Genomic DNA, 25,644 nt, shown 5'->3' with positions numbered 1-25,644 from the left:
TATTGATGCATTACCAACCAATTACAAATTAAAGCTGATGGAAACGATTTCTTTTTGTGTAAACTCATTATTTACTCCATTTTCTACCGTTAAGAAAATAGAGGCTCATAAAAACAAATAATGGGGCATTAATCTTCCTTTTGAAGCGGCAAAGTGCAAAACCTAGGTACCTTATTAATTCCTGGAGGTTAATTGGTGTGTCCACTGAAATTTGTCTCTCTTGAAAGATCAAAAATATTCTAATTAGCTTAATTGTCTGCCAGTTATCATAAAAATCTTGTGTTGAATGAAGCAGTAACATAATATTAGGCCTGGTTTGGGAAGGAGATCTCTGGGAGAAAACCCTTTTTGGGGCCTGGGTCGAGGCCTCCTTCCCATCAACCAGCCTTTACTCCCCACCCCAAGAAAATAATACCATGCAATGACACAGCTTGTTCCATAAAGCAGTTAAAGCCTGTAGGCCTTAGACAATACAAAGACAGTAGATACAGCTTAATTTTAAAAAGCATTTTAAACATAGTGATCATTGTTATATTTGAAATATAAGCATGAGATTATCCTTTTTACAACATTTTAAAACTGTTTTGTAACAGGCTTTATTTTTCAGAGCAGTTTTCGGTTCACAGCAAAATTGAGCAAAGGGTACTCAGAGTTCTCATATATCCCTGGCCCCATACAGGCACAGCCTTCCCCATTATCATTATCCCTCACCAGTGGCACATTTGTGACAACTGATAAACTTATATTGAAACATCGTTATCACCCAAATTTCATAATTTACATTAGGGTTCACTCTTGGTGTTGTACATTCTATTGGTTTGGACAAGTATTTAATGACATACATCCATCATTATACTGTTTCCACTGCCCTAAAAATTCTCTGTGCTCAGCCTGTTCATCTCTCCCTCCCCCAACCCCTGACACCACTGATCTTTTCACTGTTTCCTTAGCTTTGCCTTTTCCGGAAAGCCATATAGTTGGAATCATACAGCATGTAGCCTTTTCGGATTAGCTTCTTGCACTTAGTAATATGGGTTTAAGGTTCCTCTATGTATTTTCATTGCTTGATAGCTCATTTCTTTTTAGCACTGAATAAATTCCATGGTCTGATGTACCACAGTTTATTTATCCATTCGCCCACTCAGAAACATCTTGATTGCTCCCAAGTTTTGGCAATTATGAATAAAGCTGCTACAAGCATCTGCATACAGGTTTTTGTATGGACATAAGTTTCCAACTCATTTGGGTAAAAAAACCAAGGAGTAAGATAGTTGAATCATATAGTTAAGAGTATATTTAGTTTTGTAAGAAACTGACAAACTACTTTCCAAAGTGACTATACCATTGTCACTCCCACCAGCAATGAATGACAGTTCCTGTTGTTCCACATCCTTGCCAGCATTTGGTGTTGTCAGTGTTCTGCATTTTGGCCATTCTGATATGTGTGTAGTGCTATCTCATTGCTGAGATTACCTTTTGGTGTGATGTTCTACTCACATCGATGTGAGGACCGATGAGTTTTTTTTTCCAGGTAGCCCTAGCTCCCCAATGCATAGTAATTTCATCTGTGATTAGAAAAGAACTCATTCAACAAGAAATCAAGACCATACTCAGCTGGCCCCTAAAGGGGGAAGGCTGTTGATCCTCTCTCTGGAGTGCCCTACAGCAGTGATTCCTAATCTGGACTACATATTGGAATCACTTGGGAAGCTTCAAAAGCCAGAATCTTGGGTCCCATCCCTAACAGTTTTGACTTTTTGGGCTCGGATGTGGCCTGGGCACTGGGATATTTATTTCGTAACTCATCAGGCATTTCTGATATGCAGGTGAGAAGGAAAAACACTGGCTGAAAAATAGCAGATCATAGTCTTGGCCTGTGCTGCTAAGACCTGTTGAAAGGGTCGTCTTCCTTGGATTCTACCAGACTTGACTTAGATTCCTGAAGACCCAAGGCTCTTGGGGTGACTTTACCTTTTGTCCTCAGCTGGCTCTGATGCCCATCTGCAGTCATAAAAATTATTGCCTTTAATTCCCCACTGTGACTGGAGGTTTTTTCTTTCATTTGTTGCTGGTCTTGGGAGGCCTAGAGGTAGGTCGCTTTTTTTTTTTTTTTGAGATGGAGTCTTGCTCTGTCGCCCAGGCTGGAGTGCAGTGGCATGATCTCGGCTCACTGCAAGCTCCACGTCCCAGGTTCACGCCATTCTCCTGCCTCAGCCTCCCGAGTAGCTGGGACTACAGGCGTCTGCCACCATACCCGGCTATTTTTTTTTTTTTTGTATTTTTAGTAGAGATGGGGTTTCACCGTGTTAGCCAGGATGGTCTCGATCTCCTGACCTCGTGATCTGCCCACCTCGGCCTCCCAAAGTGCTGGGATGACAGGCGTGAGCCACCGTGCCCAGCCGGTAGGTTGCTTTTATTCACACTCAGAGTCTGGCTTCTATGTAAGATATGCTCATGTAGAGGACAGACACATCTGCTTCTGGCTCTATCTTGAGAATGAAGAGAATGAAGACAGCCCTTAATCTGAACAGTTTAGGCCTGAAATAGTCTTCTGGTCCATCAACCGTAATGGGTAAAGCCTGAGCTGTGCCCTCTCCCTTCCCCCAAAGGGAAAGATGAGCCTCAAGGAAGAGCCTGTGGCAAATAGGGGAGCCGAGCACATCCTATGAGATGTCTGGGGGAGGGCTGGTGTATGACAATGGCCTGGAAGCTTCCTTAGACTAGACCACCAGTTTTTAGATTACATAGGAAAATGCAGTTGACCTGGATGCATACACAGAAGTAACAACATAGGATATGTACTTACTTGCAAATGGCAAGCAAACATTCTTCTATAGTGTCCCTTTGTGCTTTGGTGAGGGAACGTCCCTTGGATAGCCTGTATATTGTCTGCAGTGTGGAATCAATCAGAGAGGTGCAGTGTTCTGTTCCGGCAAAGAGAGGGGCACATCTTGTGAGGAGCGGGAGCACAGCAGAACATATATACCTATTTAGTGCAAGCGCAGCCTCTGTGGTGCTTAGGGAAACCTAGAGAAAGAAGATTGGGACACAGGTTAATTGCCCTGAGGAACAGAGCAAAGCTGGCTCTGCACAGAGTTCCCATGTAGCAAGCTGTGGGAGCTTATATATGTCCACGTTGCATAGCAAGGCAGTGAACAACTTTCTACCTTATCGGCAGTTCTATTTTTCTTTTTGCATTTTCAATGAAAAAAAATCAAGTTAAAAGAAAGAACAAAAAAAAAACACACAAAAAAATCATAACAAAGGCTAGCTGGCTCTAAGTCTTCCCAAATGATCCTATAAATATCTGTTCCCTTCAAAAGAATTTTGAACTCATTAAAATCAGCTGATGGCCAGTCTAACCCAACATTTTGATGCTTGCAAAGTCTAGTTGCCAGGATACTACATTACTATTCTGGTTTTCGCTCTCTTTTCTCACCTACCAGGGACTCACACACTGTAATTTTACAACTGTAAGATTAGTGAATGGTTATAGGCCAAGCAGTTTCTCAAATTCACCAGTTTTGTGAAAGCGAAAGTGGAACTCTGACTCCTTTCAGTTAATTGGTGAGCACTTCGAGCAATTCACAATCAATACTGACATTAGAGTAGACCCCACTAAAGGGAACCTGACTCTGCATGGGCAACGTGGAAAAGGAACAGAAACTTGGGACCTTCTGTACAACTCTAACATAGTTCTTGCTTACAATGCTCTTTGATGTACATTTAGACGGATGAATGGAATACAAGGAAAACCCATTTAGTGACACTAAGTATAGCCAAAGCATGCTTTACCACCATCTTTGAAAACTATAGAACTTTCGAAAGAAACCTTGAGATCCACAGAGATGAAATATTGCCATTTCCTGTGATTCCTGCAGTCATTCTATCTGTAACACACTTTATATAACTTATGATTTGAAAAACCATTTTCTTTGAACTATATACATGTCTCATTGTTCCTATAAATTATCTAAATTATCAAGTTTGTCTCCTAGAAACTTCAGTAATCATGCTGGGAGAAACAGCTAATCTTTCACATTTATCACTTTAATATACAGACTTAAAACGAGAAAGGACAGAGCTTTGATTTCAGTAGATTATAAGTTTTCAAAAGAGAATGCATGAATGTCTATGTGTTAATGAACTGAATATAACACCTTTTTGTTGTAGATGGTGTTTGGACAAACATGTGATTGAACACCAGATACTAGAATAGCATTTGCTGTTTATTTGATTTATAAAAACATTAAATTATTTGATCAGGAAGCTTGGGGAGATCCCATGAGTTAAGAAAATTATTTTTAAAATCAAATAATTTATAGAAAAGTTCAAAACAACAGCAGTGGCAGAAGCATTGTTTTAATTATTCACAAATAATTATTCATAATTATTCATTATGAATAAAAAATTATTCATTGTTTTATTATATCAAAACATTGGGTTAGACTGGGTTATTCAGTATTAGGGATCGTATACCCTAATACTGTCATATATACCATTTATCATCACCATACCACACATGGGAATGCAGCTCCCACTCAGGTTGGGGCTCATATTTCTTTCCATTTCTGGATAACCCATGCAGGTGGAATCCATCCAAGTTAAGGTATTTGCCGCTGACAACCCATCACAGAGCTCAGATTTCTGTCTCTGTTGGACACCAGGTGGAGCCTTTGAGAAATGTTATAACTAAAAACAACACTAAACTGGAAAGATGTTTTTTAGACTTACGCAGATCTAGTTTGTCTTTTCTCCTTGGACCTATGACTCCTGGTGTACCTTTTTCTGCTTAGTTCTGACTTGTGGCATCTCGTATCTGAGCTTTGTAACTCTAGGGGCCTCCTCTCTTGATGTTTGTTGATGGTGAACTACCTTATCTATCTCACCCTTGATTTCCAAACTTATATTTGCCTTTGTCCTCTTGTATTGACCTTCGTCAGGCCCCTGGCTTCAGACCTATCCATCCTGGTGGTCAGTACATGAAACTAAGAAGCGAGAGTGTGAAGAGTAATGTCAGCCTATAATGTTGCCAGCCAGCCTTTTTCAAAGGCAATAGAGACACGGTCTCACCAGAGGGTGATTTTGTCCCCGAGGGGACATCTGGTGATATCTGAAATTGATTTTGGCAGGGATTCGCGGTGAACTGGGGTGCTACTGATATCTAGTGGGTAGAGGCCAGGGATGTTGCTACACGTTCTACAATGCACAGGATAGCCCCTTAACATTTACTGTCAAGGTTAAAAAAACTCTGCAATTGAGGGAGTTGGATTTGGGGTCAAATTGACCTATATCTAAGTCTCTGGCCCAATAAATTAAGATCTTCCATTTCATGATACCTCTATTTTCTCACCCATTAAAGTAAGCTATTAAAATGTAATTGGTGAGTAAAGAGAAAATATTTGCTTCGAAGTCCAACATTACTAATTTCACAATGATGGGAACAATAATTTTTTGTTATTTTTGCAACTTACTGTATCTAGAGAGGCAGAAGCTCTTAGGTCAGGTAAAAATCCAACCTCCAGCAAGTGGAGCAGAAAAGTTTGATCCTTAATGCCATAAACGCGGTCCAAGAACAGCACCATAGGTGCCTTGTGGTCAGGGCAGAAATTGGCCGCCATATCTGGCTCACTGACCGACCCATCTGAAAGACACATAGAAAATGTAATTTCCCTTTTCCTGTCTCCAAAGTCTCAAAAGATAACACAGAGCTTGTCTGTCTATAGCTTATTCTCCCTATAAGGGACAAGAATTTTTGGAAAAATACAGATTGAGCATCTCAAATCCAAAAATCTGAAACCTGAAATGCACCAAGATCTGAAACTTTTTGGGCACCAACATGATGCTCAATGGAAATGCTCATGAGTATTCTGGATTTTGGATTTTCAGATTTGAGATATGCAACAGGTAAGTATAGCGCAAATATTGCAAAATCCAAAAAAATCCAACACGCTTCTAGTCCCAAGCATTTAGGATAAGGAATACTCAATCTGTACAGTGCTGCGCTGAAGGCAGCTTGTACTTTGTTGAAAAGCCAGTTTAAAATTCCAGCCAGTTGTTAAACATGCTCATTATTAAAAATTAGAATTTACAATTAAGTAGATATTTAAAAAAGGTAACAAATACTAGAGCTTATTACTTCCTAATTATTTCACTGTGAACTATACTCTTGAGGTTTTTTGCATCAATTGTATTTGTGTGTTAGGAATACAATCTAATGGTGTGCCATGTCCATTTTCTTCCCAACTCTGTGTTCAGTGACATTACATTGGTGGCTTGAAATTGGCCATGGTGAGAAAGTTTATACTACAGAAATGGGCAAATGCTAGGAATCAGGGCTCGATTTATTGCTTTGTTGATTTGAAACCTAAGTAAGTGAGGGAGAAAACATGAATGAAGACAGATTAAGTTTAATATGTCATGTCTGTAGTTATTACATCATAAATAGAATAAACTTCGAGGACATACTGTTGCAATATTTGGAAATAATCGTCTGATTTAGGTGAAATGTAAATCAGGTCATCCAAGAATTCTAATCTTAATCAAGAGGTTCAAAGGTGAAGTGGGGAAATACTATGAAGAAAATAAAAACTGCTTGAGCTGGAGAATAAAGACAGGATTTCGAGTGAGGATAGAAAACAATTTCCTCTTCCTGTTTTGTTGACACTAAAAACTAGGAAAGAGGACCCCCAAATGAGCACGCTATAGCCACAGCATATTTAAATACTGTACCGGAAAAGTGTGGGACTTCATAAGGAACCCTGAGAGGACAAAAATTAAGTCCGAGCCAGCCCAGACTCTCGTCCTGCCCAGGAATCAGCGTCAGGTTCCAGCAGAGCCAGAGAGAAGGGGCCTTCCAGACTGCAGGCTGCGGCCTCTCCTGCCCTGAATGGCTGAAATTGACTTCCTCTCTCATGCGTGCCTGGTGTGGTGGGATATTAGTTAGTGTTTTATGTTTGGGAAACACTGAGTTCAACATCTATTTGCTTTATCTTAAGTTTTCTCAGAGATGTAATCATTTTACTGTGCTTATACTGATGTGATGTATTCCACAGCATTTCCTAAACTTATTTGACCCCGGGTCCCTTATTAATATGCACACCTATTAATATCTCCCACAAAAACCTTCTGTGGAATATCAGTTTGGGAAACATGACAACGGTTGGAATCATATGTTTTCAATTCTTCCATTAGCCTGGATAATGGGTGAGGCGACTCAGAGAAACAACACTTCGAGGAGAGTATAAGTTTTGCAAAGATAACACTGACTGATGTCAAATGTCACAGGTAGCACTGGGGGAAAACACTTTTATGATCCTCAGCCCTAAGGCATGCGACTGTGGCTGAAGACAGGCTGTGTGGGGGCCCGTCTGTGCCCCAACTGCCTACACAAGCTGGGGGACCCAGGGGAAAACGAGAAGGGAGGCCGTGGTGAGAGCTTTCGCTTGTCCCATTCCATCAGCCTCCCTCAGAGGGTTGGCATGCTCATAGGAGGACAGCAAGGTCTGTCTGTACCTGTGGGACACAGGGTACAATTGTCCTGACACAGACAAGAGAGCAGATTGAAGTCATTACTTCCGAATTATTTCACTATGAACTATACTCTTGAGGTTTTTTGCATCAGTTGTATTTGTGTGTTGGGAATACAATCTAATGGTGTGCCATGTCCATTTTCTTCCCAACTCTGTGTTCAGTGACATTACATTGGTGGCTTGAAATTGGTCATGGTGAGAAAGTTTATACCACAGAAATGGGCAAATGCTAGGAATCAGGAGTCGATTTATTGTTTTGAGATTGCTTCTTGAGAAGACAAGAGAGCAGCTGGCTAGAGCCTAGAGGAGAAAACTCATCACAGGAAAAAGAGTGAGACACTTGCCCTGTGCAGCCCGCCCTGCAAGTCAGGGCCTGGGGGCCACTGTGCTGGGGACAGAGTCCTGCCCCGAGCCAGTGGCTGCTGGGAGACTGCTGCTGCAGCCTGCAGTCACTCCCCTTACCTTTGTTGAGGGAGGGCAGTTTCAAGGGGATGCTGATGATCCCAACCAGGTCTTCTGTGGGGACCAGGGAGCGCAGGATGGACCTGATGCGGATGGCTTCCCCCTTTCCTGTCTGGATGAGCTGGAAGATAGGGTTGAGAATGACATTAGATAAGTGAGGTTCCCACACCTCCCTCCACCCCACCTCCAAACCTCTGGCAGTAAAACGGCTTAAGGGCAGGGGTCCATTTCTATGTTTCCCTAATTGCTACAGACACTTGTGGCCACAGGGAAAGAGGAGAGTGGCATCTTGATTTTCCAGAAGAGTGCTACTGATGAAATAACTGACTAAAGACGTTGCTTGATTCCTTTGCTGTTATTAAAGTGGCCATGAGGTTGTGGTATCAGGCCCCAGGAATAACTACACGGCCTGCTGGTGGCTTCTCAATGTGACTGCACTGCCGGAAGTGCTCAGTGGCCACGACAGAAGTGTTGACAGCGTGGCCACAATGCCAGACTCTAGAATTCTGTTTTTTTTTTTTTTTTTTTTTGGGGGGGGGGATGGAGTCTTGCTCTGTCACCCAGGCTGGAGTGCAGTGGCGTGATCTCAGCTCACTGCAAGCTCCGCCTCCCAGGTTCACACAATTCTCCTGCCTCAGCCTCCCGAGTAGCTGGGACTACAGGCGCCCGCCACCACACCTGGCTAATTTTTTGTATTTTTTTTTTTTTTTTAGTAGAGACGGGGTTTCATCATGTCAGCCAGCATGGTCTCGATCTCCTGACCTCGTGATCTGCCCATCTCGGCCTCCCAAAGTGCTGGGATCACAGGCGTAAACCACCACGCCTGGCCTCTAGAAATCTGTTAAACATAGAAATGGCTTATGAATTTCAATTTCTAAGAGTTTGATTAATGCTGGGGATGATGACTGGGCAAAAAGGGTGTAGAGAATGTCAGAGAGAACTTGAGGGGCTCAGCGGAGTTATCCCGGCTTGAGTAGCCCGATCCACCCCGACACTGATGGGCCAACCAGCACGTACAATGGTGTGCATGCATATCCCCCTGCACAGGCAGTCTCTGGCGGGGTGTAGTAGGCGTTCAGCTGGGAACTGAATGTCATAGGGTCAGACTGTCCCCAGGTGGGCTGGATGGTATGCTGAGATACGATGCTTGGTGCCACCAGGGAAAGGAGAAGGCCCGCCCACGCACCCTGGTGCCGCCTCCATCTCCAAGGGTAGAGAAGAGGTGGTTGGTGATGATGGCATCCTTCCCTCACCACTGATAGGGCAGGACCCACAGGAGGGGTCCTAAGAAGGGATGTATATATGTGTGTGTGTGTGTGTGTGTGTGTGTGTGTGTGTGTGTGTGTGTGTGTAAGGTGTTGGAGCAGAGAGGCAGTAAGGAAGGAAGAATGGGGCACCGCAGATGGGGCTCTGGTGACTGAGCTATCCCATGCTGCCTTCTTGAGAAGCAGCAAACTATAATGTGCTTTCTGATGTGATGAGAGGTGATCAGGAAAGCTAGAGTGCGAACACACAGGGGTCTCTGACCCTCTCCACCCCCGCCAAGACTGTAGAACACCTTAGTGTTTTCTGGGCTCCCTTCCAGGTTTCCTGCATTTACTTAAAGGCACAGAAATGGAAAAACAGGCCTAAGTGGGTAAGGGTCCTTTATCATAGTAGGAATTGGAATCCTAGGAATTCAGATCAGCCTCCCTTATCAAGATTTAGAGTTGCTTTTCATAGGAAAAGCAGCTATTTCCTCTCTTATGATGTCAGACCTTATATGAAATAAGGCTTATTCTTTCAGCCCTCAGTAGAGGTGAAAAAAGAAAAGAACATACTTTCTAGTTCAAAACTAGAAGTCTGAGAAGACATCTCATAAAATAGAACCATCCTTTTGTGATGTTTGCAAACTCTACCTCTGGGGGAAAAATTCAAACACCAACCACAGGAAGAGTCTGCCTTCCTGGGGCCTAACGCCACAGTCATCAGGAAAGGGATCTTCTACATGGAGCATCCTGATGGCCATGATCCAGAATCAAGTTGCTCCCATTTTGACCAAATTGAGGCATGTCAAATGGGAGGCTTTTGAAATAAACTGTGCAGAGGACATGCTCAACTAGTGCCACAGAGAAATCACACAAGACAGGGATCTGCCCGGGAGTCCCTCCCTAGAAAGCAGCAGAGTCACGTATCAGAGGTGGAAACTACTTTTGAAACTAGCTAAAAGGGACCTAGAAAAAGGCATGTTAGCAAATGCCAGAGACAGAGGAAGAAATGAGGTTCAGGAAATCTATAGTGTTCTTGGCATAGGTTTCTCAAAGCTGTTCTCTGGAAGCTGTATCACTTACGTGCATTTCAGGAGCACAGCGGCCCAGTAGATCTATAAGGGCCGAATAAAATGACATAATTGCATTGCCCATATGCACGATTTCTTCTTCCTCTTCATCGTCCCCCGTGCTGCTGAGAGAACCAACAGAGGGGAGGTGTGAGGAAGGTTGGCAGGCACTGCCATGCTGCGAGACATAAGCTGCTTGATATGGAAGCACTCTGCTCTTCTTGCATATCATACATCCTTTCCCTTGGAACCTCGTCTTCCTCTAGAAGTTGACAAAGTGGTTTCATTCATTAAGCTCAAGGAACCCAAATTTTTGTCCATGACATTCACAGGATTCCATGAATCTTAAGGCATGAGTACCGACATGAGCTGATCATCAGACCATAACTCCTACCAACCATTCATTCCCTTTTCCTCTCTGTGAGGGGAAGATACATGGAAAACACATTGGACCAAGAGTCAGGAGGGCTCAGTCCCTGTCCTGGCTCTGTTGCTAATAAGCTATATGACCTTGGGCCTCAGTTTTTTTCTCATGTTGCTTGAGGAAGTGGCGAAAGCGTATGTGTAGGGTCCTTTCCAGCTCTACCAGGTCTGATGACAAAGAAAAAAGCCAACCGTCTAAAGAGTTTCTGCTGCTGGGTTATGCCCACTCTCTAGATTCTACGGTCTAACCTAAAGGCTGTGATAAAGAAAGGGACATGATCATGAGACTTGATAAAGGGAAAGTAAGACAATCAGACAATCTACCAACTATATCCTTAACATTTAAATAACAACATTACAGTGCTGCGACTTTTCACATTTTGCAGCTGGTTTATTTATTTATTTATTTATTTTTAGAAGTCAAATCGAAACACTTTCTTAATTAGTCCTCATGCTTTCAGAAGAGGAAGTGGAGGCACTATCTGTTTTTACAAATGAGGTATGGGACGAGACACCGTGGGACAAAATACTGAAGGAAACATGCTGAAGTTAGACAAGGAGTACAACCTTGGTCCAGACCTTTAGCTTCCTACCCCATGGTGATACTATAGGGAGGCCAAGAGTTTGCCCACTTTGTGATTTCCAGCTGCGCTGAGCAGAGTAGAGAAAATGGAAGGGGGTGAAGGTGATGCTGATCACTAGCCTTACTGGGAGAGTTAAGACAACACTGTTCTCGATGAAGGGTCAATGTTTTAGCTGTAACTGTTAAGAACATGTGCTTTCTCTATTACCTCCTAAATCATCCGTATACCAATAATATCTGAGAGCTCACCAACCGTATCTGTGCCGGAAGGGAATTCCATTCACTTACACTTCTCTTTTGTATCCTTGAGAGGGGAGGTCGAGCGCTGGGTTCTCAGAGATCTTAATGGCACCCTGCATGGCTGCCAAGAGCCCGTTTCCCCCCTCACCCCGCAGGGCCGGGCCGAAGCACTCTGGGCGTCTGATGAGCAGCTTGACCACAACGCTGGCGTTTTCTTCCACACTCTCACCTGAGGAAGACAGGCACTGTTTCCTTCTCAATGAAAAGGACAACCCCAGAATTTATTTCTAGTTGATGAGGCTGGGAGAACAGTATTTTGTTCAGCTTATCACCTACTCTGTTTTTGGTTTAGGCCAGTCAAGTGGGCAGTGGGAGTGGAGAAGGAACTAAGACATCTGTAACTGATTGTGGTCAGTTAGTTATAAACCCCACTCACTGCACTTGAACCAGCCTCATCTACTCTTGAGATTAGGAGTTGACACTGATGGAGAAAAAGGTGGCTTTGATAAATTGGGTCAGGATCTGTTTGTTTAAAGTATTAAGATCCACCATTACAGAGCAGGTTTTTACTCTTCGGCTCAGGATTTTGTACTGTAGAGATTATTTCCATATATTTAGGTCCTCAGAGGGCAGTTAATAAACTACTGAGTCTACCATGGAATACTGATTCATTCACAAGTGACTCAGAGAACAGAAGGACTTTACATCTTGATTACCTCAATGAGGGCATGCAAATCTGCTTCCTTCCTTGAAAGGAAGGCAGATGGTTACTCAAGCTGGTGTGCTTCAATTAACGTTTGGGGAAGTGACATATCAGCTTCTGACTCTGTTACCCTAATACTCTCACAGAGTCTAATACCTAACCTAGGACAGCCAGGTTTGTATGGAGGGACTTCAGGTCATTTCTGGAATCATGTATCCAGATGAAGAATCTCCTTGGTAAAGTTTTATTGGTTATTCCTAAACTTGTTCTGTGGGAAGGCAGAGGTTAGAGAATTGTATTCTGTGGCATTTGTTTTTGGATGAACCATAGATAATGAAGATAGGGTCTCATTTCCTGATAAAGTGATTAAGTGGTAGAACTGGACACTTAGGGATAGCCATTCTTTCTTAGAGCCAATACATATATTCAAAAGTGGGTTGGTAGCTTGTTCGAACAACTTAATAAAAAAAAAACTCTGTCTCAGATGAAATCCTAATTTGTATCTGAGAATTCATCTCTGAGCCAAGACTCAAGAGCAAGACTTTTTTTCATGTTGTGTTAGCTAAAGCCTAAAGAAAAACTCTACAAAATCATAAGAGGTACCTCATTTGTGTCTGAGAATTTATCCCTGAACTCAATACTCAAAGGCAAGACTTTGATGTTATGTACTGGAAGCTTGAAGAAAAACTTTTCTACAGAAATACCCTAGGTATTTCTTGGAGAACTGAGCGATAATCGAGGTTACAATGTGATAAGCTGTTGTATTATTTATTCTCGTGCAAAAAATTCCCTCAAAATATTGGCAGGCTAGAACAATAAATATTTGTTATCTTGCAGTATTTGTATCGGTCAGGGATTTTGAAGTCGCTAAGCTAGGTGGTCCTGCCTTGGGATCTCCCATGAGGTGGCAGCTGCCGTCTTCCGAAGGCCTGTCTGGGACCGGAGCATCAGTTTCCACGTTCACTCACACAGCTGTTGGCAAGAGGCCTCAGTTGCATACTGGATGTTGGGTGGAGGCCTCAGTTTCTCACCATGTTGACCTCCCCATAGGGCTGCTTGAGTGTTCTCATGATGTGGCAGCTGGCTTCCCACAGAACAACTTATCCAGAAGGACAGTAAAGCGGAAGCCAAGCTGCCTTTAATAACCTGGTCATTTATTGTTACTTAGTCATATCCTATTCATTAGAAGTGAGTCACTAAGTCCAGCTTACATGTAAAGGGAGAATTAGGCTCTGTATTTTGGAGGGAGGAGCATCAAAGAATTTATAGACATATTTTGAAACAATTTTAGCAGTTTAAGTTCTATTTAATACAACATTTTATGAATCAACTTAGAAGTGTTGTGAGTAAAGCATTTTTTTTTTTAAGAGACAGGGTCTGGCTCTGTCACCCAGGCTGGAGTACAGTGGCATGATCTCAGCTCAGTGCAGCCTCACCCTCTAGGGTTCAAGTGATCCTCCCACCTCGGCCTCTTGAGTAGCTGAGACTACAGGCACATGCTACCACAACTGGCTAATTTTTGTTGTTGTTGTACTTTTTTGTAAAGACAGGGTTTCACCATGTTGCCCAGGCTGGCCTCAAACTCCCGGACTCAAGCAATCCTCCTGCTTTGGCCTCCCAAAGTGCTGGGATTACAGGCGTGAGCCACCACACCCTGGCAGAGCATCTGAATGAGAACCCAGAAAATCTTCTTGTTCCAGCTCTTTAGCTCATCACTGTGTGAATACACACACTGCACAATCTCACTGGATCTTTCCCCTTTTCAGATATGCATGCTCCATCTAGTTTTAGAGTGACTCTATTAGTCTAACTCAGATGCAGAGATTTCTCCCATGATGCTCAGAGGAATGGGGATGGGGTGGGGTGGCAGCTGAGCTTGCTGTCCGAATGCCTGTAATTAACTCAGGCTCACCTCTCACACCAAACTCAATCTTGAACATACCGAATGTGTCTCACAGCCCTGAAGAGTCTACCTCAGACCACAGGTGTAGTCCAGTCCTAGAGCTTGGCTTGCTGACATCCTCTTTTATCACTCAAGCTTTTGCACTGTGGGCAAAATCCAAGATTGTAAGCATGTACCACTCTAAGTTTTAGAGTTGCGTAGCTCAATCCAGAAAAAAATTTATTAGACTGAATTTAAACAGCTAATCAGCTTCCATTCACGGTTTTATAGCTCAATCCTTCAAGAGTCTAAAATTTTTGTAAAGAAGTTTGTCTTCAAGTTCTATCCAATGTATCACACACTAAAAAACAATCAGTTTTTATTAAACCAGAATCCATGTGAAGAAAATTCTCAGGAGATACTAAAAGGGTAAAATTATCATAATAATGGGATGGTGGAAGGAATCAACATATTCTGGAAAAAGAGAAACCAAGGAGAGGTTGAAAGACATTGTACAGTTTGTAGAAGACCAGAGAAGGGTATGATGTCAAGTGCTATGCCCATGCTCTCCTATCAGTTGAACCTACCATTTATACCTAATACAGTTTACTCACAGGAGGGATACTTACAGAAAAGCCCCAGGAGAATCTACATTTCTAAAAGCCAGTGGTCTCAGACATGGACGTATCTCACAGTTCACTACTTTCGAATGGTTTTGGCCTCCAGTACTTATCAGGTAGCACATACATCAGCCCTCTCAGTTGTAATTTCTCACTACAAGAATAATAAAGCTAAAACGTTGAAATTTTAAATATAAAAAAATGGAGGAAAAAACCCAACTCTGTTAATCAAGCTTATTTGAATACTATAATTCTTTCAGTTACCTGGTGGAAATGCTTGTGGGTCAGCCACCGATTTTACCAGCATGTTGAATTCAACTTAGCCTTTCCCACAGTGATTGGCATCACGAAGTTGGTGGGATATAAAACCACAATATGCAGAAGTTGAAAAATCAGACTGTGAGTTCTACGTTGAGCTTGCGATTGAAATTCATTTGCCCAATTAACCTTATTTTATGAGTCTCAGGCCTTCAGAACTGAACTAATTGGGTCTGCTCCTGCAAGTGACCCAGGAAGCCGGCCCTTGATTACTGAATTGTGGACATCTGTGGAGAATGCAGAGCACGCTCTAAGACGAAGGAGCTGAAGTGCAACCATTGCTGCTAATTAGACAGGGGACCAAGGAAAAGAATTTCCAAAGGCTTCCCAAGGCAAAGAGGATGGCATGATTAGGAGGGAGAGACAGTCTCTTCCTAATTACCTGTAGCTCAGCAAGCTTCACTGCTAACCAAATCCATTGTGGTAAAGCTAGATATTGACCTTGAGGGCATTTTTCAAGGGGGAGAGAGAGAGACTTGAGGTAAACTAGTTTTGCCCAAGGGCTTGCAACAATGCTTTCTGCTTGAGTTCTAATATGAATAATGAGCTTAATAACAGCATGAATGTTCACAGTGCCTTTCTTCAAAGGCTTCAACACTGTCTTCATGTTACTGTTTTCTTTTCGATGTTCCTGAATAGTTGGATGGAAATGGAAATGATTCTCCCCATTTTACCCTGGTAAAACAGTCATACCCACCACAGGGACAGTTAGCAGGGAAATAATTATTTAACCTTCAGCCCATCACTTTTCTCACTCTCTGTGTTCTAACTCTAGTTCCTGTTTTAAAGTTCCATTGTCTGGAACACTGTTTTTCTTCCCATTCTTTTGATGTAAACCCTCAACTTAGGTAACTCCATTTCATCCTTCAGGAGGAGCTTAAACATGGGAACCCCAGAGGACCTGTTCCTCTCAAACACCCTGTCCTCTTCCTTTGTGCCTGCTTTCCCCATTAGACTGTACATGCCATGAGAACAGGGCCTTGTGTCTGAATTATCTAACACTGTGTGCTCAAGGGTCTTGCTAACATCTGGCATATCACAAACATTCAAAAAATATATTTCTTCAATAAGTCAATAGACTTTATTGAGACTCAAGGCAGAGACTTGGAATGACTGGATGGAAAACCAAAGGTGGCTACCCATTGTTCCATTATCCCAGGCAATTATCAGCCTCTGTTTACAAGAGCCTGCATCATCTACTACCTCAGATTTCAATTAGTCCTAAAGAAAAGAAACATATTCCCAATCAAGTCCCACCTCAGTAAGAGAGAACACGGGGCTTCAGCATGAATGAATGTACTGACACTCATTTAATTAATTTAGAGAATCACAGGGGCAGGGTAATGGCCAGGATCCAACACCTCTATTTGCTAAATGCCATCTTTGATAGGGTGCCAGGCAACTTGTATGAACTAAGTGATTCCAAATAGTAAGGACATACCATCTTCTTTTTAGGGCCTTCCAGCCTGGGAAGGGATGGACTGGAGATATGTCTAAGAGCCACTGTGATAGCACAGAGAACAAACCAGGAATTGTTTGCCCATTTATTAATGAATTCAACTATCCATTGAGTCCACACTACATGCTAGTAACTGACCTAGAGACAGCAGACAAGCAGTAACCAGGACAGTCAAGCTTGAACTCCAGAATGAGACCAGTGGAACAGAGCCACCCCCGCAGACCTGTGGACCTGCAGCAGAGCTTTCCCACCACCTTGCAGATATGTAAGAAATAAATGCTTATTATTTTATGCCTTTGAGATTATGAAGTTATTATGTAGCAGATGCAGGCCAATATAAGAGAGTAGAAGGAGGGAATTCAGTTCCTCCTACACAACTTAGAGTGGCCCAGGTATAAGATAATAACAACTTGGAGTAGAAAGTGGCCAGTGGAGATGGAGAGAAGATAGATTTCAGATATCTTTTAGATGCTGAATCAACAGAACTTGGTGATGGACTGGATGTGGGAATAAGGAAAAAAGTTGATTCAAGGATGCTGTCTAGACTTAGTCTGAGTATCTGAAAAGTTGGTGGAGCTAGTTAAGGAGATGGAGAATCCTCGGGGAAGAACGGGTTTTGGGTGGTAATTACATACTCAGCTTTAAGATGTACAAAATTTAAGATGCGTATTAAACCTTCAAGTAGAAATACCAGGTAGATAACCAAGATATACAAGTCTGGGGCTCAGGGAAGAGGACAAAGCTGGCAAAGTACATCTGGGGATCATCAGTGTATACGTGGAATTCAAAGCCATGAAACCATGCAGGGTGGATGGTGCAGTAGTAGCCCAGATATTTTGAAGGCCAGTATTTAATCGCAGAATTGTGCTAAGATTTTGCCCATGTGTCTAGAGTTTGGGTCTATGTAGCTTTTTCATGAAATATGCCAAATAAAACTTGAATGCCATAGAAACCTGAAGTCAGAAGGTGTGCTCTGACAAAATATGGGCATTCTCAATAAGATGATGAAAATCAGCCTTTGATGGGCACAAGGATCATAATACTGCCATTTTGTGTGAATAATGTTGATGAAGTGGATTTTTTTTTTGTTTCATTCAGCTTAATTCTAGTTTTATTGAAGTATCAGGCTTCACTTACTACTCTTATCAATGAAATGGTTGATGAAATCCACATACGTATATTAAGTAGGTTCTGGACTTTTGAGTCCACTGCCAAGACACTCAGTTATCACTATCGTTGGAATCCCACAGGGGCCTTGGAGGCAAGCTGCTGAGAAATTCACTTAGGGTGAAAAGAATGTAGCTGATATCCTTTCACCCCAGCCAGCTTTCCTCATTTTGGTGCTCTGGGCCTAGGTTTGCCATTGGCTTCTTTATTTGAGGAATTTGTTTTCTATTACTGGTACTGTTTTGACTGTCTGCTTATTTCTGGACTTTGATGCTGTTTCACTTTGAATTTTTACAGATGGAGGCACATTTCCTTGCCTCTGTCACTAGAAGCCCTTTACCTGTCTGATAGATTTCCTTTCCTTTTCTCAGGTATAAAGATTCCAGGGAGTCCAGTGGGAGAACGAAGAAGGTAGGGTATGCAAGACTGTACACGCTTTATACTATGGTTTGAATCATGGTGCCTCCTCCGAAATTTATGTTGAAACTTAATCCCTAATGCAACAGTGTGTTAGGCCATTCTTGCATTGCCATAAAAAAATACCTGAGGCTGAGTAATTTATAAAGAAAAGAGGTTTAATTGGCTCATTGGTTCTGCAGGCTATACAGGAAACGGTGCCAGCAACTGCTTGGTTTCTGGTGAGGCCTTGGGAAACTTTTACTCATAGCAGAAGATGAAGGGGGAGCAGGTGTCTCAGAGAACGAGAGAAAGAGTGGGAGGAAGGTACCACACACTTAAGCAACCAGAGCTTATGAGAACTCACTAGTGTGAGGACAGCACCAAGCCAAGAGGCATCTGCCCCCATGATCCAAACACGTCCCACCAGGCTCCACCTCCAACATTCGGGATGAGAATTCAACATAAGATTCAGAGAAGACAACATCCAAACCATATTAAACAGTATTAGGAAGTGTGGCCTTTGGGAGGTGATTAAGTTATAAGGATCTCTGCCCACATGAGTGGGATTAGTACCCTTATAAAAGGGTTTAAAATTGAAGGGATGGTCTCTTGCCCTTCAATTGATTCTGCCATGTGAGGACACAGTGTTCCTCCTCTCCAGAGGATGCAGCAACATGGTACTATCTTGGAAGCAGACAGCAGCCCTCCCAGACATCAATCTTACTGGTGCCTTGTTCTTGAACTTCCCAGTCTTCAGAGCTGTGAGAAATAAATTTCTGTCTTTATAAATTATCCAGTCTCAGGTATTTTGTTGCTGCAGTATAAATGGACTAAGATACCTTACAGTTAGTACAAAGGTGTAACATAGATGTTAAGAATCCAGCTGCAACTAGCCATATCTCAAATGTACCTTATATTCTACCTTCTTATCACTCTAGCATGATTGTATCTCCTGAGTACAACATTGCGATGTTGTTCCTATTTGTCTTAAACTGTTATTTAAATCTTTTGCCATTGGTTAATTTTTCAAGAGCTTGCTGAATCTTTTCAACTGTTTTATAAATTTGAGAACAAAACTATGTGTCACACATTTAGTCCTAACCATGCCTAGTCTAGTACCAATCACACTGAAGAATGGTTAACATGCCCTTTCTGACTCTAAAAACATGAATACAAGGGCAGAAATAAACCAGATGATTCTTAAGTGTCTACACCTTGTATGCCCTTCAAAGCTAAGATGACACTTTGTACTCTCAACCCTAAAAGATGTATGTCTCCCAGCACAACAGTCTATCCATATGCTCTCCCTTTAGGACTTTGTTAAACTATATCCATTTATTTCAAGATGTTATTCAACACTTGCCTTCTTCCTCATGCATCCCTTGACTAATTCTACCAGATTCCAATAAACACCATCATTTTGGCATGCCAATGTCTCATGTGTCACTATGTAGGTAGGTGTGGTTGATTACAAAGTTTTTAGTAATTATTCCATACATGTTTCTGATCACTCTACTTGGGTTTTCTCTGTTTCCTGCTTTGAGTTGTAGGAAGTGACTTCTGGGCAGGACTTCTAGAGCATCACGTTTCACAGCCCCTCATAGACTCTTCACATGTCACATGATGGATGTCCAAGTTATGGCCACTGATAATAAATCTACCTAGGAAAGCAGATTCAGCAAAGCTAGGAGATATTATGTTCCTTAAACTAAGTTTGTAGTCTGGGGAAGATATCGCTATAACTCTCCAAGGACTCTAAGAAAACACAGAATAACTTTTCCCTTTTTCTTGTGGATTGATAGGAAACCTTTTCCTTCTCAGAGTCTACAATAGGAAGGGATTAATCACAGACACCCAAACACATCTGTGCTTAGCCTGGCTACAGTGCCTGCAACTGCGGGGAAAATAGAAGCTTAACGACTTCATTACTTCCAGAGTTAAACACAACCCAAGGCTTCTCAACAGCTAATAAAAATAAAGTGAAGCAAATTATATGCCTTAAAACATTTTCTTAAAGACAAATATTTAAGAAGATTTACTACAAACATTAAGAAATAATAGTAAATTAATGTTAGAAAGAGTTTTCTAATTCCATTATTTTGATATATTAAAAGCTTTTGATATGGCTTAAAATTTTTAAAATTAGCACCAAACAGTGATTAAATAATACCACCATTTTTGACAAGCTCAAAGGAGAAAATGTTGTTTCTCCTTGTTGATTAGGGAGACAGGAAGACAACAGTGCACAATGGTTCATAAACTGTGGCCTCTGGAGTCAAACTGCTTGATTCAATTTCTGGCTTTACTTTCTACTACCTATGAGACTCTGGGCAAGGTATTTAATCTAAGCTTCAGGGTCTTCATCTACAATATGAAGATAATTGTATCCACTTGCTATGGTCTGAATATTCGTGTCCCCCCCACCCTCCAAAATTCATGTTGAAATCCTAACTGTCCAGGTGACGATATTAGGCAGTAGGGCCTTTGGTAGGTAATTAAGTCATAAGGGCAGAGCCCTCATGAATGGGATTTGTGCCACTACAAAAGAGGCCCCAGAGAGCTGCCTTGCCTCTTCCACCATGTGAGAACAAAGTGAGAAGGCACCATCTATGAACCAGGAAACCTCACCAGACACTGAATCTGCCAGCACCTTGATCCTGGACTTCCCAGCTTTCAGAAGTGTAAGAGATAAATTTACGTTGTTTATAAGCTACCTTGTCTATGGTATTTTGTTATGGCAGCCTGAACAGACTAAGATGCTTCCCTCATTGGATTGTCGTATAATTAAAGTTAATATATGTAAAAGTGTTTTGAACAGTGCCTGGCACATGGTAAATGCTCAATAAGTGTTAGCTGTTATCCTCACCACAACCCTCACCACCCCCATCATCACTCACCATCATTCACCACACTCACCCTTATAACCCCCCTATATGACCATGCACCACCCAACCATCATATCCCATCATCACCATCATCATCAGCCACCACCATCACCATGTCTACCTTCACTAACCACCACCCACCTCAGTCACCCTACAACTCACTATAACCACTGACCAACTATCATATTCCACTATCACTAGCATCATCACCATTCATCACCCACTATCACAATTCCCACTACCACTCACCATTACCCACCATGAACACCCCATCACCCACCATAATCATATACCACCACCCACCATCATCTACCATCACCCACCATGAATACTTCCATCATCTGCCACGATTCCTTATATCACTTTTATCTTACATTGCTGAGCAGAGTTCACAAAGGTATTCAGAAAGTCCTTTTGAATCACCTTTTAGACATAAGGACTTATAAAGGGCTTTGAGATTCCAAAGAAATCTGTTTATTACAGTTTTCCCATTTCAAATGCCCTACCACTCTCGTAAAGATCATGAACAACAACTATCATAACTACAAGTTTATAAGGTTTGTGGCACTGGGCTGATCTAAGTTTTCCATGGATTATTTCATTTAAGCCTCACAACTCTGTGAGGCATACATTATTATCATCTCTGTTTTACACATAAAAAAGCACTGAGGTTAGGTATTTTGACTAACTTGCTTCAATTCACACAACTAGTAAATGATAGAGCCAAATTTGAACCCAAGTTACTCCATTCTCTACTCCAAACTCTTCTGTAACATTCTGTTGTGATTGAGCCACTATTCCTCCTCCTAAGTATTCAGAAATATTCTCATTTTTCTTTTTCATACTCTCCACATTTTTCTTTTTCATGCCTTCACCTGTGGCAACCTACTGTGAAGCATTTGAGCTACCAATGGACTGCAAATCTACTTAGTTCTAATCTGTTGATTGATTTCTATCCTACAAATTCAATTAGGGGTATCTCTATATGGGTACTGTACACAGAAAAATCAATATAATGTGACCCAAGCCAAGCTTATTACCTTCCATCTCAAACCATTTTGCTTCTTCTGACATCCTTATTTCTTTCTCTCTACCCTCAAAAATCTTTAAGCTTCAATGTGACCTCTGTTCCTTTTCTCTCAACATACCTAGGCTCAGCCATCATCATCACCATTCAGTCCTTGATACAGTTTGTATATTTGTCCCTGCCCAAATCTCATGTTGAATTGTAATCCCCAATGCTGGAGGTGGGGCCTGGTGGGAGGTGTTTGAATCATGGGGACAGATCCCTCATGGCTTGAGGCTGTCTTCACAACAGTGAGTTCTTAAGAGATCTGGCCATTTAAAAGTGTGTGGCACCTCCCCCTTGCCTTATGCCTGCTTTCACCCTATGATGTGCCTATTCCCCCTTCACCTTCTGCCACAATTGAAAGCTCCCAGAGGCTTCACCAGAAGCCAAGCAGATGCTAGCACCATGCTTCCTGTAAAGCCTGCAGAACCACGAGCCAATTAAACTTCTTTTATTAACAAATCACCCAGTTTCAGGTATTTATTTAGAGTAATGCAAGAATGGACTAATACTGAACATTTGTACCAAAGATTGGGGTATTGCTATAAAGATACCTGAAAATGTGGAAGCAGCTTTGGAACTGGGTAGGTGGCAGAGATTGAAAGTGTTTGTAGGGCTCAGAAGAAGATGATAGAAAGTTTGGAACTTCTTGGAGACCAGTTAAATGGTTGTGACCAAAATGCTGACAGTGAAGTCCAAGCTGCTGAGGTCTCAGGTGGAAATGAGGAACTTATTTGGAATTGGAGCAAAGGTCATGCATATTACACATTAGTAAAGAACTTGGCTGCATTCTGTTCGTGCCTTAGGGATCGATGGAAGTTTGAACTTGAGAGTGATGACCTAGGGTATCCTGGTGGAAGAAACTTCTAAGCAGCAAAGTGTTCAAGAAGTGGCCTGGTAGCCGGGTGCGGTGGCTCATGCCTATAATCCCAGCACTTTGGGAGGCCGAGGCGGGTGGATCACGAAGTCAGGAGATTGAGACCATCCTGGCTAACACGGTGAAACCCCATCTCTACTAAAAATACAAAAAGTTAGCCAGGCATGGTGGTGGGTGCCTATAGTCCCAGCTACTCAGGAGGCTGAGGCAGGAGAATGGCATGAACCTGGGAGGCGGAGCTTGCAGTGAGCTGAGATCATGCCACTGCACTCCAGCCTGGGCGACAGAACGAGACTCAGTCTCAAAAAAAAAAAAAAAAAAAAAAAAAATGAAAGAAAGAAGTGGCATGGCTGCTTCTAACAACCTATGTTCAGATGTGAAAATGAATAAATGACTTAAAGTTGGAAATTTATTTAAACAAGAACAGAGTGTAAAAGTTTGGAAAATTTGCAGCCTTGCCATGTGGCAGAGAAAGAAGAGGCTTTTTCAGAAGAGGAAATCAAGTAGGATGTAGAGCAACTACTTACTAGAGATATTTGCATGACTAAAAGGGAGCCAAGTGCTAACATCCAAGATAATGAGGAAAAGGCCTCAAAGGCATTTCAGAGACCTTCATGGCAGCCCCTCCCATCATAGGCCCAGAGGCTTAGGAGGGAAGAATTAACTTGTGGGCCAGGCCCAGGGCAGCCTCATGATATTGCTCCCCATATATCCTGGCTGCTCCAACTCTAGCTGTGGCTCAAATGGGCCCAGCTAAAACTTGGGCTGCCACTTTGGAGAATGCAAGCCATAACTCTTGGCAGTTTCCATGTAGTGTTAAGCCTGTAGGTATGCAAAATGCAACAGTGGAGAACACTTGTCAGCTTCCACCTAGATTTCAGAGGATGTATGGAAAAGCCTGGGTCCCCAGGCAGAATCCTGCTGCAGGTGTGGAGCCTCACAGAATACCTCTACTAGGGCAGTACAGACGGGAAATGTGGGGTTGGAGGCTCCATGCAGAGTCCCTCCTGGGGTACTGCCTAGTGGAGCTGTGGGGAGCCACCCTCCAGACCCCAGGATGGTAGAGCCACTGGCATGCCTATAGTCCCAGCTGCTCGGAAGGCTGAGAAGGGAGGATTGCTTGAGGCTGGGAGGTCGAGGGTGCAGTCAGCTAAGATTGCACCACTGCACTCCAGCCTGGGTGACAGAGCAAGACCCTGTCTCAAAAAAAAAAAAAAAAAAAAAAGTGTATGGCACCTCCAGCCTCTCTACTCTCTCTCTCTTCCTCCTGCTTTCGCCATGTGACATGCCTAGTCCATTTTTGCCTTCTGCCATGATCGGAAGCTCCCTGAGGCTTCACCAGAAGTTTAGTAGATACCAGCACCATGCTTCCTATAAAGCCTGCAGTACTGTGAACCAATTAAACCTCTCTTCTTAATAAATTATCAAGTCTCAGGTATTTCTTTATAGCAATGCAAGAATGGTCTAATACAGTCCTGTGAATTCCACCTCAGTAATTTCTTTCAAATGTATCTCTTCTAGTCCATTTTACCAACACCATAATAATTTAGAAACTCATTATTCTAACCTGAGTACAGAACCCATGAGTGGGTATCAACCCATCAGTCTCTCTTCTGTTAAAAAGTTTTACAGCTCTCTACACGCTGAATCAATACTAAACTTTTCAACTTGGCATTTAGGTTTTCCCCATTATAACCACCTACCTTTTAAACCGCATGTCTTACCAGTGCCATCCATGCATCTACCCTCCAGACTAAGGTATCTTAGTCTGTTTTGTGCTGCTATAACAGAATATCAAAGACTAGGTAATTTATACAATATAGAGGTTTATTTGGCTCATGATTCTGGAGGCTGAGAAGTCCAAGATCAAGGAGGTGCATCTGTTAAGGGCCTTCTCACTGCATCATAACATGGCAGAAGGCATCACATGGCAAGAGAGTGTGCACAAGAAAGCAAGATGTTGAACTCGTGGCCTCCAGCCATTTTATAATGGGCATTAACCCATTCATGAGGTGTTGGGTCCTCATGACCTAACACCTCCAATTAGGCCCCATCTCCCAACTCTCGGGATTAAGTTTCTAAAACATGCTTTTTAGGGGACACATTTAAACAATAGCACTAGGTTTCCTGAGCACAGCATGCTTTAGCCTTTCAGCTACTGTACATGCTGCTTCTCAACTGAATCTATGTATTTGGAAACTTGACCTTTCAAAGCTTATCTCTAACATCACCTCCTCCATTAGGCCTTTTCTGATCTCCTCAATAAGATATAAGTTTCCCCTCTTGAACCCCTTCAGTGCTCTCTCCCTGCCTTACTCCACTTACTTTTATTGTAGTGATCTCTGTCCATGTCTGCTCCCCTTAAAAGACTGAAAATTCTTTGAAAGGAGAAGCTGACATCCTTTGCCAAAACTAGACACGGCTACTGTTAGATATGAGCTCTAAATTTCTTTTCAAAGAATTAATATGTCATTATGTTCAATTCTTTGCCTTCTACTTTCAAACCTAACTTCCTCCTAAAGCAAACTTTTTCGATTACCTGCTCCACCCTGACTCATTCTGATCACCTGCTCCACCCTGACTTATTCTGATTACCTGCTACCTGCTCTGTCCTGACTCCCGCCGAAGCACTCACCCCGTCATTCTATTTAAATCGGCCAATGGGAATTAGTTTAGCCTGTGCGGTCTAACCCTAGCCAATAGGGGAA

At 42.4% G+C, this 25,644-nt stretch overlaps 1 protein-coding gene across 20 annotated transcripts in view, besides 1 other annotated feature; it reads right to left on the bottom strand.

Moving 5' to 3' along the window:
- RYR3 (ryanodine receptor 3) overlaps positions 1–25,644 on the bottom strand; it is a 555,136-nt gene that overhangs the window by 131,602 nt on the left and 397,890 nt on the right. For 15 of the 20 annotated variants that reach the window (XR_001751370.2, XR_001751371.3, NM_001036.6 and 12 more), the window contains 5 exons: positions 11,606–11,786; positions 10,325–10,436; positions 7,995–8,115; positions 5,475–5,644; positions 2,807–3,027 (listed from right to left, as the gene is read on the bottom strand). Coding sequence is in view for 18 of the 20 variants with exons in the window: in NM_001036.6 (NP_001027.3) it covers positions 2,807–3,027; positions 5,475–5,644; positions 7,995–8,115; positions 10,325–10,436; positions 11,606–11,786 (805 nt within the window). In the remaining 2 variants the exon portion in view is untranslated. The remainder of the gene's footprint in view (positions 1–2,806; positions 3,028–5,474; positions 5,645–7,994; positions 8,116–10,324; positions 10,437–11,605; positions 11,787–25,644) is intronic. The other 5 variants (XM_017022469.2, XM_011521880.3, XM_017022472.2 and 2 more) reach the window with 1 other exon arrangement.
- Positions 12,689–13,888: an enhancer, noted in NCBI's record as "MED14-independent group 3 enhancer chr15:34012814-34014013 (GRCh37/hg19 assembly coordinates)". NCBI's record gives its function as "activates an origin of replication core promoter dependent on BRD2, BRD4, P300/CBP and CDK7 cofactors, and independent of MED14, by STARR-seq in HCT116 cells {active_cell/tissue: HCT116}" and the evidence as "EXISTENCE:reporter gene assay evidence [ECO:0000049][PMID:35650434]".

Source organism: Homo sapiens, chromosome 15 (assembly GCF_000001405.40).
Source record: "Homo sapiens chromosome 15, GRCh38.p14 Primary Assembly".
Classification (NCBI taxonomy): domain Eukaryota; kingdom Metazoa; phylum Chordata; class Mammalia; order Primates; family Hominidae; genus Homo; species Homo sapiens.
Note: the sequence above shows the minus strand (reverse complement) of the source record. Positions and strands in the feature narration are given on the sequence as shown.